At 58.0% G+C, this 10,926-nt stretch overlaps 1 protein-coding gene across 4 annotated transcripts in view, besides 4 other annotated features; it reads right to left on the bottom strand.

The window, feature by feature from the left end:
* CASZ1 (castor zinc finger 1) overlaps positions 1-10,926 on the bottom strand; it is a 160,043-nt gene that overhangs the window by 63,171 nt on the left and 85,946 nt on the right. For all 4 annotated transcript variants that reach the window (NM_001079843.3, XM_017001540.3, XM_047423404.1 and 1 more), the window contains one exon: positions 5,718-5,770. The gene's annotated coding sequence lies outside the window, so the exon portion shown is untranslated. The remainder of the gene's footprint in view (positions 1-5,717; positions 5,771-10,926) is intronic.
* Positions 1,649-2,149: an enhancer, noted in NCBI's record as "H3K4me1 hESC enhancer chr1:10761480-10761980 (GRCh37/hg19 assembly coordinates)". NCBI's record gives its function as "activates a minimal SCP1, AML or CMV promoter by ChIP-STARR-seq in naive H9 embryonic stem cells {active_cell/tissue: H9 hESC(naive)}" and the evidence as "EXISTENCE:reporter gene assay evidence [ECO:0000049][PMID:30033119]".
* Positions 3,958-4,879: an enhancer, noted in NCBI's record as "H3K27ac-H3K4me1 hESC enhancer chr1:10763789-10764710 (GRCh37/hg19 assembly coordinates)". NCBI's record gives its function as "activates a minimal SCP1, AML or CMV promoter by ChIP-STARR-seq in naive H9 embryonic stem cells {active_cell/tissue: H9 hESC(naive)}" and the evidence as "EXISTENCE:reporter gene assay evidence [ECO:0000049][PMID:30033119]".
* Positions 4,880-5,802: an enhancer, noted in NCBI's record as "H3K27ac-H3K4me1 hESC enhancer chr1:10764711-10765633 (GRCh37/hg19 assembly coordinates)". NCBI's record gives its function as "activates a minimal SCP1, AML or CMV promoter by ChIP-STARR-seq in naive H9 embryonic stem cells {active_cell/tissue: H9 hESC(naive)}" and the evidence as "EXISTENCE:reporter gene assay evidence [ECO:0000049][PMID:30033119]".
* Positions 5,803-6,724: an enhancer, noted in NCBI's record as "H3K4me1 hESC enhancer chr1:10765634-10766555 (GRCh37/hg19 assembly coordinates)". NCBI's record gives its function as "activates a minimal SCP1, AML or CMV promoter by ChIP-STARR-seq in naive H9 embryonic stem cells {active_cell/tissue: H9 hESC(naive)}" and the evidence as "EXISTENCE:reporter gene assay evidence [ECO:0000049][PMID:30033119]".

A 10,926-nucleotide genomic window follows, 5' to 3' on the forward strand; every position in this document is an offset into this window, starting at 1 on the left:
CTTTGTCTCACCCTTGTAGGTTTCTCTTATCAGAAGCAGCGACGGTTTCACATTAATTTCCCAGTTTTTGTGAGTTCAAGAGTGTGGCCACAAAAACTTTAAAAAAAAGTTTTGGGGTGGAAACGTGGAGTGTGAGAGAAGAGAGAGGTAGGTGGGAAGAAAAAGGTGAGAAGAAACAGAAGAGAAGCAGAGACAGAGAGAGAGAAAGAGAGACAGGCAGAGAGAGAGAGAGAAACAGAGACAGAGAAAGAGAGAGAGAGACAGAGAGAGAGAGAAAGAGAGACAGAGAGAGAAAGAGAGATAGAGACACACACACACACACACACACACACACACACACACAGAGTATGAAGCAGGGACCTGGGCTAGTTGGGTTGCCCTGTGGGCCTGGCCCAGCCTGTGGCCCCAGCCCGGGCGGGGACCTGTTCTGGAATGTTGGGTTGGCATTTTGTCTCAGTTACAATGATCAGCTGCAGAAGATATGGGATTTCTCATTTTAAGCTCTGAAACCACTTAGGTTTCTCTGGCTACTTCAGTTACCCTGTTGCTGCTGGTTCCTGCTCCAAGCCTCCCTTCTAGGAGCAGGGCTGGGGAGAAGCCAAGGGAGGGGTCCCAGGAGGGGAGGCCCGCTGTCCTTATGGGAGGTGTGAGGTTTTCTATGTGGAGCTGCCAGCGTACTTGGGGAGAAGACACGTGTGCTGCTGCCTGAGTCTAGGTGTTTGGATGGTGTATGTACACGCCTGAGCCTGAACTGTCAGACACACATGATAGGCACATGTGTGTCAGGGGTGGGGTGGGGGTTAGCCAGGACATCAAGCAATCCCTCATGGAGCACCAGCTCTGGAGTCTCAGTACCTGGGTTCACACCGCAGCTCCATCTTCTACAGGCTCTGCTCCCTGAACCCAGGCACTGACCCTCTACCTTCCCAGCATCTTCAGGAAATCATCGTTAGTGGAACCCTAGGTCTGCTGATAGTGGGGGACAGAGAGGGACTGCTAATGAGTACAGGGTTTCTTCCTGGGGGAATGAAAATGTTCTAAAATTAGATAGTGGTGATGATGGTACAACCTTGTGAATATCCTAAAAACCACTGAATTGTACATTTTAAAAAGGTGAATTTTATGGTATATGAATGATATCTCAATAAAGCGGTTATTAAAAAGTGGGGGAAAGACGGGGGATCATATTAGCACTTCCTGAATAGAGTTGTTGTCACACAGCACTCAGCCCGCACACAGTCAGTGCTCAATAAGGATTAGCTGTTAATATGGATCAGTCCAAGGCCTGGGCTGGTGTCCATGGGTGTATACCATTGGTGCTTACAAATATCTACTTGGGCCCCTGATGCCAGGGCCAGCAGGTTGTCAAGGAGCTGAGCTGCCCCAGGTGTCTGGTGGGGCTCCTGGGCAGCTGCTCCCTGGCAGGGAAGCGGGTACGTGGCCCTCCTCCTGCCTCCTGCCCGGGTCCCTGGAGAGGAGGCTGCCCACCGTGGCAGCCGGGTTCCCGTGCGCACTCTCCCTGTCTCGCAGACACTCATATTCTCCATGTGCAGCAGACCGTGAATTCACCTTCATACTAGTTACAGGGTTATTTAGCTTCTCCTGATGCTGACAATCACAAACTTTAATTCGCTGCCTGGCTTCTCCCTGCTGTGCCCTCTGCCCACCCCCAAAATCCTTGGGAGAGGATGGGAAGGACTTAGGTCCAGCCCCCTCTCGCCAAAGCTCGCCCTTCAGAGTGATGGAGTGATGGGAGGAGGGGGGGCGCGGTCAGAAGAAGGAGATAACGGGCAAAGGGCTGGAGGGAGAACAGTGCGGGAGAGAGGAAGTACCACCAGGGCTAAGGGGAGCTTCTGTCCTGCTCCTCCAGCCTGACACTAATGTATTCAACCTGACATCCCATCTTGTCGTGAATGAAGACTCGGCCGATCAGGCTGCTGGTTTGAGGGCTGGCAGCCTTGGCCGGGACGGACTGGGGCCAGGGCTCAGGCCTGGGGCTGAGCCCCTAGGACCAGGCAGCTGACGGGGGGCTGGCTTTCCTGCCTCCTGCTGAACTAACAGGTGCTCGTCCAGGAGCCGACCTGAGGGAGCCCATTCCTGCCAGCCTGACAAGCCAGGCCTCAGTTTCTCCACCTCCCCCGGCCCATCCCCCGTTGGGCTGAGCCATCCTGCCTACTGAGGCTTCTCTTGGGCTTCCGGCCCCGCTGCCTGGGCGGCGTCTGTCTTCCTTTGCGGACAGCAGGTGGATCCACTCAGAGCTACTGCCAAACATTAGATGGGAAATAGAGACTCCGAGACGTCCCCTACCAAGCACTCGAATCACACAATCCTGAGATGAGTGTGGGTACAGGTCCCAACCTAGGTGACACATGTCCGCTTCCTTGCCTGCTGGGAGGAGCTGCTGCTGCCTTGCTCCCCGCAGGCCAGCCCTGGCGGGGTCTTCATCACCCTCTTGCCTTGGCTTCAGCAGATCCCCTGCTTTCTGTCTTCCCTATGCACCTGCACCCTTTCAAGGAGCGCGCCCAGCTTCCAGAAGGTCCACAGAGGCCTCCCACTGGCTCAGAGGCCAGTGAAGGTCAGAGATCTCAGACCCCTCCTCTCATCCACCACCTGCCTCCTGAAGTGGCCACCATCATCGTTCCCCAAAGCCTCCTGGGCTAGTGAAGGAGGAAAGATTTGCTCTGAGAAGCATCTGGGTGGAACAGGGAACTCACCCACAAAATCCAAGCCAGCCCCATCAGTCACTTGTTAGAGAGTCCCAAGGGCAGAAGGCCAAGCCAAGAGGAATCACGAAGACCAGAGGCCTGGCAATGACCCGGGCCAGGGAGCTTGGAGAGGGAGACGCGGGGCTGGAGGCAGTGCTGGGAGGAGAGGGAGGCCAAGAACCCCATCGGTGGGTCCAGGTTTGTGTCTGCCTCCTCCCAGCCCCATTCCACTGCCCCACCCCTGCCAGCGGGGGAAGTGGCCACGGTGGCCTGGGCAAGAGAGATGTCAATGGGGCCGATGGGAGAAGGGGCTTGTTGACTGCAAACTGTCCATTATGGGTTAGATTATAAGCATATTGCACAGGGCTCTCTGCACGATGCCGGGGAAATCCAATACGCTGAAAGGTTAATGCAATCAATTAGGGTGACAAGGAAGTAAAGTAAAGCCTTCCGAGTAGATGAAAAGGAGAGAGAGGGAGAGGCAGAGAGAGAGAGAGAGAGAGAGAGCGCCATGGAGTTGTGGGGGTGCTATGGGTGGTGGGAAGGCAAGGAGGAAGAGGAAATAGAGGGATGCAGAGAGGAGGCCTGGAGGGGAAAGAGAGATGGACAAAAGGCCAGGAGCCCTCAAAAAGAGGACAGCAAGAGAGACGGCAGCAGACCTAGCACGAGAGGAGGCCCAGCAGACTCTGCAGCAGACCTCTGGCCGCGGCCGCAGCTCCCGTCTCCTTGCCCACTCCCTTCCAGCCTTTCCTCTCGGGCTTGGAGCCTGATTCCCACCTTGGCCCACAGCAGTAGAACCGGGCCAGGGCGGCCTTGGTCCCTGGTCCTAGACAGAGCCAGCACCCACTGTGTAACCTCCAGGGCCTTCTCAGCCAGACTGCAGCCTGGTTCCCACCCACCACCTATAGGCCCAGTCTCAGACCTGGACTACCCCCTCAGCCTGCTTGCCCCTCAGCAGCTCCCGATAACTCAACCTTCACAGCTTCTCCCAGGCACCCCAGCTCCTCCTTGCCACAAGCCTGGGAAGCAGACAGCAGTTTACAAATAGAGAAACTGGCGCTCAGAGGTTATGCTGCTTCCCAGGGCCCTGACACAGAAATAGAAGACCCAGGGCTGCCAGTCCACGACCTGTGGGGCTTTTTTTTTCAAGGTGCTCCCTGGAATCAGGAGCCCACCCTTCTCCATAGGGTCAGACTCCGAGGCCCCCTAAAGTGCAGGAGCTAAAACCTCTCGAGCGGGGGCCGGAAAACTTTTTCCCTAAAGGGCCAGAGAGAAAATCATTAACCTTTTAGGCTTTGTGAGCCAAACAGTCTCCGTTGTAGCCATTCAACTCTCTCTGCAAGTATAGAGTGAAAGCAGCCATAGCTAATACCTGAATAAATAGGCATGGCTGTGTTCCAATAAAACTTTATTTATAAAAGCAGACTGTGGGTCAAAGGGCTCTGCCAAGCCCTGCTCCAGAGAATGGAAGCACTTGGGGCTGAATTTCAGGACACGGAATGGCTGGCTTCACCCTGCTGCCTGGGGACGGAGTTATCTACCCTGTCAGGACCTCATGGGCGGAGGTTTCTAGAGGAAGCAAGGTTCTCGTGATCAGAGGGTAGAGCAAAGGAAGGGACAGAGAACAAGGCACGGCGTGGGAAGCCAATATCCAGGAACTGGTCCCAGCTTGGGGCATCCTGAGGAGCCTTCCACGGCACTCAGATCCTCATGGACCATGTGAAGGCATGGAGGCTCGCAGCTCTGAAGATTCTAGAATTCTCAACTCCATGAGACAGGGGTGAGGCCATGGTTAAGAGGAGGACGGGAGTGGCCAGAAGGGAGCAAGAAGGGGCACCAGGGAGAGAAAGGCCGAGAGGACCCGGGATGGAGCTGTAACCAGGGTGGTGCTGGCGGCAAAGGGAGGAATCCACCGGCCCCAGCGAGAGTGCAGGGCGCGGGCCGGGCCTGCCCTACACCGGGCCGCCTCTGATCACGTTTTCAGGGCCACTGCCCGCCAGCGCAGACAATGCTGGGGGAGCCTTTGAAGTCCGAAAGGGATGCCGCGGTGGGAGCCGGGGAATCTCCTCCCTTCTCCGTCCTCCTGGGGGGAAGGGGGCCGGTAGGACAAAACCCAGAGCCGGTCGGTCGCAGCCGGGGCCCGAAACGCGAGAGACAAAGGGAAAACAAACAGGTTTGGAGCCAGGCGCACGGTGCCGTGTCTGTCCCCCGCCCCGCCAAGCGGGGATGATGGATGGCTGCAGCCAGCCAGCTCGCCCGCCGGGCAGGCCCCGCTATTTACATAACACTGGCGTTCCACCGGTCACCTCTGACACAGCACTGCCTGGGGCCCGAGGCCCGGTGGCCCCGCGGTTTCTCGCGCCACCACCCCGGGGACTGACACAGCCCGTGAAGGCTGGGCCAGGCTGGGGCAGCCCCGTATGCTTGGACTTCAGGGGAGCCCCGTGCCTGAGGAAAGGCAGGACATGGCAGCCTGTCCTGGCCTCGGCCGTGGCCTTCTCCCTGCCAGCCTCTTAGGGAGGATGGAGGAAGCCACTAGGGGTGGCACAGCCTCCGAGGAGCGAAGGCAGGACTGGGGTTCTGGGGCCTTCGAGTCCATGCGGTTCTTGAGGCAGAGCTTGGGCAGCACGTCCAGGCACAGCCGGCCACCGCCACGGAGGCAATAGCACTGTGAGAGCGGGCACCGCAGGCTGGGTAACCTGAGCCCAGCCACCACAGGTGCCCCACTGCCCCACACTGCCCTGAGCACGTTCCTTCCCCAAAGTCTGCAATCCATATGTCCCCAGACCATTTCCAGCCTAAAAGCCAAACCGAGGGGATCCTACTGGCGGGAGGGCATCTTTTCCCATCAGGGCGGAATGGGTGGGGTGGCTGCAGTTCCCCATCTCCACCTTCTCATCTCCCCCTGGGTGCTCAGCAGGACTGAAGCCAGCCCAGGGTGACACGTGCATTAGGTGAGTGGTCACCAGTCGGGGAGAGGACGCGAGGCTCAGGGAGGGGCTCAGGCCTTACCTCGTAGCAGGTCCTAGAACCTCCTCGGATGTAGCTGGGGGTGTCACTTCATCCTGGAGAGGCAGAGAGAGGAGCCCTGTTAGCTTTTCCAAGCCCATGACTCCCCAGTGCACGCCCTCCATCCCTCCTGAGTACCCAGGCGCTCCCTGCCCCACATGGGCTGAGGGGCTGATGCTCCAGGGCCAGCCAAGAGGGCCAGAAACTCAGGCATGCCGGGTGGGCTCTGATTTGGCTCATTCAGGCATATGCCAGCCACAGTTTGCAAAAACGTCAGAAAGTGGTAGGAACTGACTGCAGGGGCAATGTGGTCCTCAGGACCTCCCTAGCCAGGCGGAGAAGAGTCAGCCGTGCCGTGCACACTGCTCCGTGGAGGAGGCCGGGAGTGGGGGTGCTGGTGAAGTGGCCTGCACGCTCCCGTGGAGCTGCAGCGGCCTAGCAGGGATGCCTGGGGACAATGACAGAATACAGCAGCAACTGCTCCTTTACTCTCTTCCCCGGGGCCCCTGAACATAAAAATGACAAATGCCAAACTGTTCGCTCTAGCAAGTTGGTGACAGAGGGGCAAGGGCGGGCCAGGGGCCAAGGCATCAGGAAGCCTCCATGCCCCAGGATCAGGCTGCCGACAGCACCTTCCACCCCGGGGTCCTACCCATGAGTCATCACAGCCCATGTCCAGAGACCGTGCAGGGAGAGGGACGATGGTCAGACAACGTGGAGGCTTTAACCAACACGCGGCCTGGCCCAGCGTGCCAGGCTGGGGCCCTCCTGCCCAGATAATGAGTTTGGGGAGCCAGGTTCAAAGGGGCAGCCTGTGTGTACGTGGAGAGAAAACACAGGGAGTCCCCCCGCCAGCCTGCTGGCCAGGCCCCCCAACCCTTGCTCAAGCCAGGCCCTGCCCCTGCAGGCCTCAGAACCCTATCCAGGCTTGGGGAGGGCTGTCTGTTACGTTTTCTTCTCCCCCTCCCTCATTTGTGGCTTATCAATGATGCAAGAGGAATAACACCAATTTCCTTAGGCTATGTAATCCCCAAATCAGATTGGGGGGATTGTGGGAGATGAGGTGACCTTGTTGAGGGCTCCCGGAATGCCACCCAGTCCCACCGCCCGCTCTCCGGTTCCCAGGACATATTTAGACAGATAATGCTAATTGTACTTGACACGTCCTCTTAAGGAGGGCTCGGCTCTCCACCAGCTTTCGCCGCTTGTGTTGGGCTGCCCGGGCAGAGGGTGCCCACTGGGGCGGAGCCTGCCCTGCCAGATACAGGGCTCTGGGAGGGCTGAGAGCCCGGTGGGTTGGTGGTTAGGAAGTGCTGCCCCACGGGCCTCTGATGCCCATCTCATCCAGATGATGAGAGGCGGGGGGGTCTGCAGAGAGCTGGGCGGACCCCTGAGACAGGGGGCGGTAGAGAGGATGGGGGGCTGTGTAAAGGGGGAATAAGGAAAAGAGAAGGAGCTGGCCAGGAGAGGAGAGGATGGAGGAGGAGGCCGGCAGGGAGGGTCACAGGGTCCGGGGATGGAGACCCCCAGGCCTCCACTGCAAGGCACCAGGTGGGCTCAGCCATCAGAGCTCGAGTCCTGGCCGGTCAGCCCAGGGCCCTGGCTGGGGTGTCATCTTCACTGTCCCGTCCGTCCCACACACTCCTGTCTGAGATCTCTCAAGGTGCCCTGGCCAGCCTCCTGTGGACCCCCAAAGCCCCCCAACTCCACAACTCTGGTATCTCCCTTCCACCACCTTTCTCTCCCCTCCCATCCTCCCTGGCAACTGTGCATTTATTAATTCATGAGGCACTAATTAGTTCTTTGTTTAATTTTGTGTTAAACAGACTGACCGGAATGATAACGACTTGCAGCGCGGTGTTGCCGTCCCCAACCACCCCTGTTTTCTGACAACAAGGGAGCGCGGGAGACCGGAGCGCTGAACCCAAATCCCTCAGCAGTTGCACTTCATTAAGTCAAAATGTGACAAGAAGCTTAGAGAGCAACTTGCAGATCTGATCACACAGAACAATCAGGGAGGAAACTTTCCAGGAGTTGGTCGGGGGTGGAGGAGGGAGGGGAGGGCCAGAGATGTGTACGTACAGGGACCAGGACATGCACGGGGTCCTGTACCCCACCTGCCCAGGGCAGGTGTCCTGGCTGATGGGAGCAGGGAAGCTGTCCCTGGGTGGGATCTGGGACCCTGGGATACTGGGACCCCAGTGGGGGCCTAAGAAGTAGCTGAGAGTTCATCTTGGTCTCTTCTTCCTTCTCTGGGCATCTTTTCTTGTCTCTCTGCCTCTCACTGTCCCCACTGTCTGCTTTGTGAGTGGCCCATATGAGTGAGTGGCCAGCACATCTGGGACCTGGTAGCTGACGTAGTTAAGGAAGGATTCTCCAAGGCCGGGGGAGAGGCACAGTACTGGGAAGACCCAGAGGACAGCAGGGGCCCTACACTCAGCGGGGCTGAAGTGAAGTGAACTCTTCCAGGCTAAGAAAGAAAAGCCATGTGCTCAGAGATCATGGCAGAAAGTGCCTAAGAAATGCCAACACACCCATTCTCTGCCAGCCGTCTGTCCATCTGTCCATCCATCCATCCAATGTTCCTAATCTTAAGTACTCTGGCCAAAAAACTGAGGACCCAAAGGTTCAGAGTTCTGTCCAGAGGTAGATGGCAAATCAGAAACAGAACTGGGTCCTGGAGCTTCCAGGCTATGGGGCTGATGGTTGGTTGGTAGCTGAGCTAAAAGTGACAACAGCCTTCTGACCTCCTTCCTCCTGTCCATGTGAAAAAGCAGGATCTTGGCCCCAGAGGCATCAGGCTGCCCATCCCACCATCCCATTGCACAAGTAAGGATGAGTGATACCAAAAGCAAACCCTGCCCTAAACTAAGGGCAGTGGCCCTACCCACCTTTTACCCACCCTTAATCTCTGAAGACACCAGCAATGTCTTGGGTAAGAAGAAGAGCACAGAAGGGATGTGAGGAGGAGGAAAAGAAAAACAAAAGTACAGAGAAAAGTTGGCAAACGTGAGCCCTTATGTGTGCAAAGAGCCTGGTGCCTTCTTCCTATCGGCTGCTGCACCTGCCCAGGTGAGGCCCGGCACTCCCTCCATCTCATCCCTGGGGCCTGCTGTGAGAGTGAGCCTGGAGGCAGCCTCATCCAGCCCTTCTCCTGGCCGGTTCTGAAGCACAGTGGTCTCTCCCTGAGCCCGGCAGCCCTGGGCTGGCTTCTGTTAATTTGCTGTCAGGCTGCCTAAGCAAACCAATTAAAACTAATCATTAATTATAAAAGAGAGTGAGAAGAGGAGGAGAGGAGAGAGTGAAAGACAGAGGGGAAGAGGAAGAGGGAAGGTGGGCTGGAGAGGGAAGACCTGGGGGCCTGCAGGCGGCTCGGAGTGGGGCCTGGTGGGCTGGGCGCTGGGAGGACCAGAGGCTCCTCCGGCACAAGAGGTGCCAGGGTCGGGGGAGGGCAGGAAGGAAGCAAGGGATGGAGGACGGGGAGGGGGGGGGCCATGGGTGAGGGAGGGAGGGAGTGCCACGAGAGATGGGACGGGGGAGAGTGACAGGCGGAGAAGTGGCAGGGACCAGCGTACCAGGACCTGAAGGGGCCTCCTCCATCTGCAGTTCCCTCTTGCTGGAGCCGCTGCTGGTCCAGGACTTGGCTTTGGAGCCTCTCACCCACAGCTGCCCAGCTCCATATTTATGAAGCACCAGGCCAGGCTCCTCGGCCAGCACTCCTACCTGCTCCCCAGGCCTCCCGGGGCCATGGGGGCTCGGGGCAGCTGTCGGGCTGCCCATCCGCCCCCGCACTCCACTGCGTCTCCTTCCCCCTGCCCCCAGCCCCATCCTCACGCACAGCCTCTCCCTGGCCAGCCCTTTCACAGGGGCTGGGGCCATGTCAGCCCGGCAGTGTGAGGAGGGGGGCGGCATAGACAACAGGGGCAGCGTCATGGAAACGGGCACTTTCCCGGAGAAATATTCTGTTTGGCCTCCTTCCTGTATTGAGGAGCTGTCAGGAGCCCGAGTGAGAGTCTCACTACCCCGGGACCAGGCGTGACAAAACCTATTTTCTGCCTCAAATTTGATTGATTAAAAAACTTTTTAGGAAAAGCATGTTAAAAGAGTGAAAAAGAAAGAGAGAGCGGGAGAGGGGGAGAGAGAGAGAGGGAGAGAGAGAAAGAGAGGAGAAAAGAAAGCGAATCAAAGTGCTGCCCGGAGGACGGCTGGGGAGAGAAAGGCCCCAGGCAGGGGCTGAGCAGTGCCCCGGGCAGTGCCGCAGGGGGATGCGCACCAGGGGGATCCCATGGCATAACCAGGCAAAACGGAAAGGTCAGAGGAAGCCCGGAACTTTTACACAGCAGTTAGCAGGACAATGAGGGGGCCGGCGGCCCGCACAGGCCAGCAGGTGCCCGATCGAGACAGAGGCCTCGGGAAAGGAGCCTGGGCCCCGGACCAGGGAGGGGCGGTGGGGGTGGCTGTCCAGACCCCGGAGTCGGAGCAGGCCTCCGGATTGGCTCTGGGCTCTTTCCAGGCACAGTCTTGGTTGGAATTGGGCCAGGAACCTGAAAAGTCTACATAGGGTCAAGAGGAAGGGCCCTCGTCCTTTGGGGACAGGAAATGGGTTTTCCCACCTTGCTCTCCCAAGACCTGGCTTAAGAAGTGTTTTTAATCATAGTAATTTTTAAAAAGCAGGAGACCTCAACTTGACCCTCCACCCTGAGGCTGGCTCAGCACCAGCTTCCAGCCCACCTTTGCCTGTCTTGGACCTTCCCCAGTCAGGGCCTCAAGTCCTTCATGGGATGTTGCCCTATGTGGTCCCCATGCCTGGCCAGGGACTTCAATGGTGAATTCGAGGCCCTGCCTGACTCTCTCAAGGCTCCAGGAGAAAAGCTGGCCTCCCCACCCCTCCTGAGACCCCCTTAGGAGGAAGCAACGCCTCCATTTCCCAGTGGCCCTGCCCGATCTTCTTGGGCAGGACCCCTAGTCTCCCCAGGAGGAAGGGTCCAAGTTGGTGGCCTAGTTTGCTCTCCTTTTCTCTAAGGGCCTTGAAGGTCAAGATGAGGAGTGGTTCTGGCAAAGGAGTCAGCAAGAAGATTTTCCCAGGTGCTGGGAGGGTGCTTAGCAGTGCCCACTCCAGTCTCTGCCAGCTCAGGGCTCAGCGTGGTAGGCAGTGCCTCCTCTCAACAGACAGGCACGTCGCCAACAGATGCACAGAAAGACAACACCTGCT

The sequence above is a fragment of the Homo sapiens genome, chromosome 1 (genome assembly GCF_000001405.40).
Source record: "Homo sapiens chromosome 1, GRCh38.p14 Primary Assembly".
Classification (NCBI taxonomy): domain Eukaryota; kingdom Metazoa; phylum Chordata; class Mammalia; order Primates; family Hominidae; genus Homo; species Homo sapiens.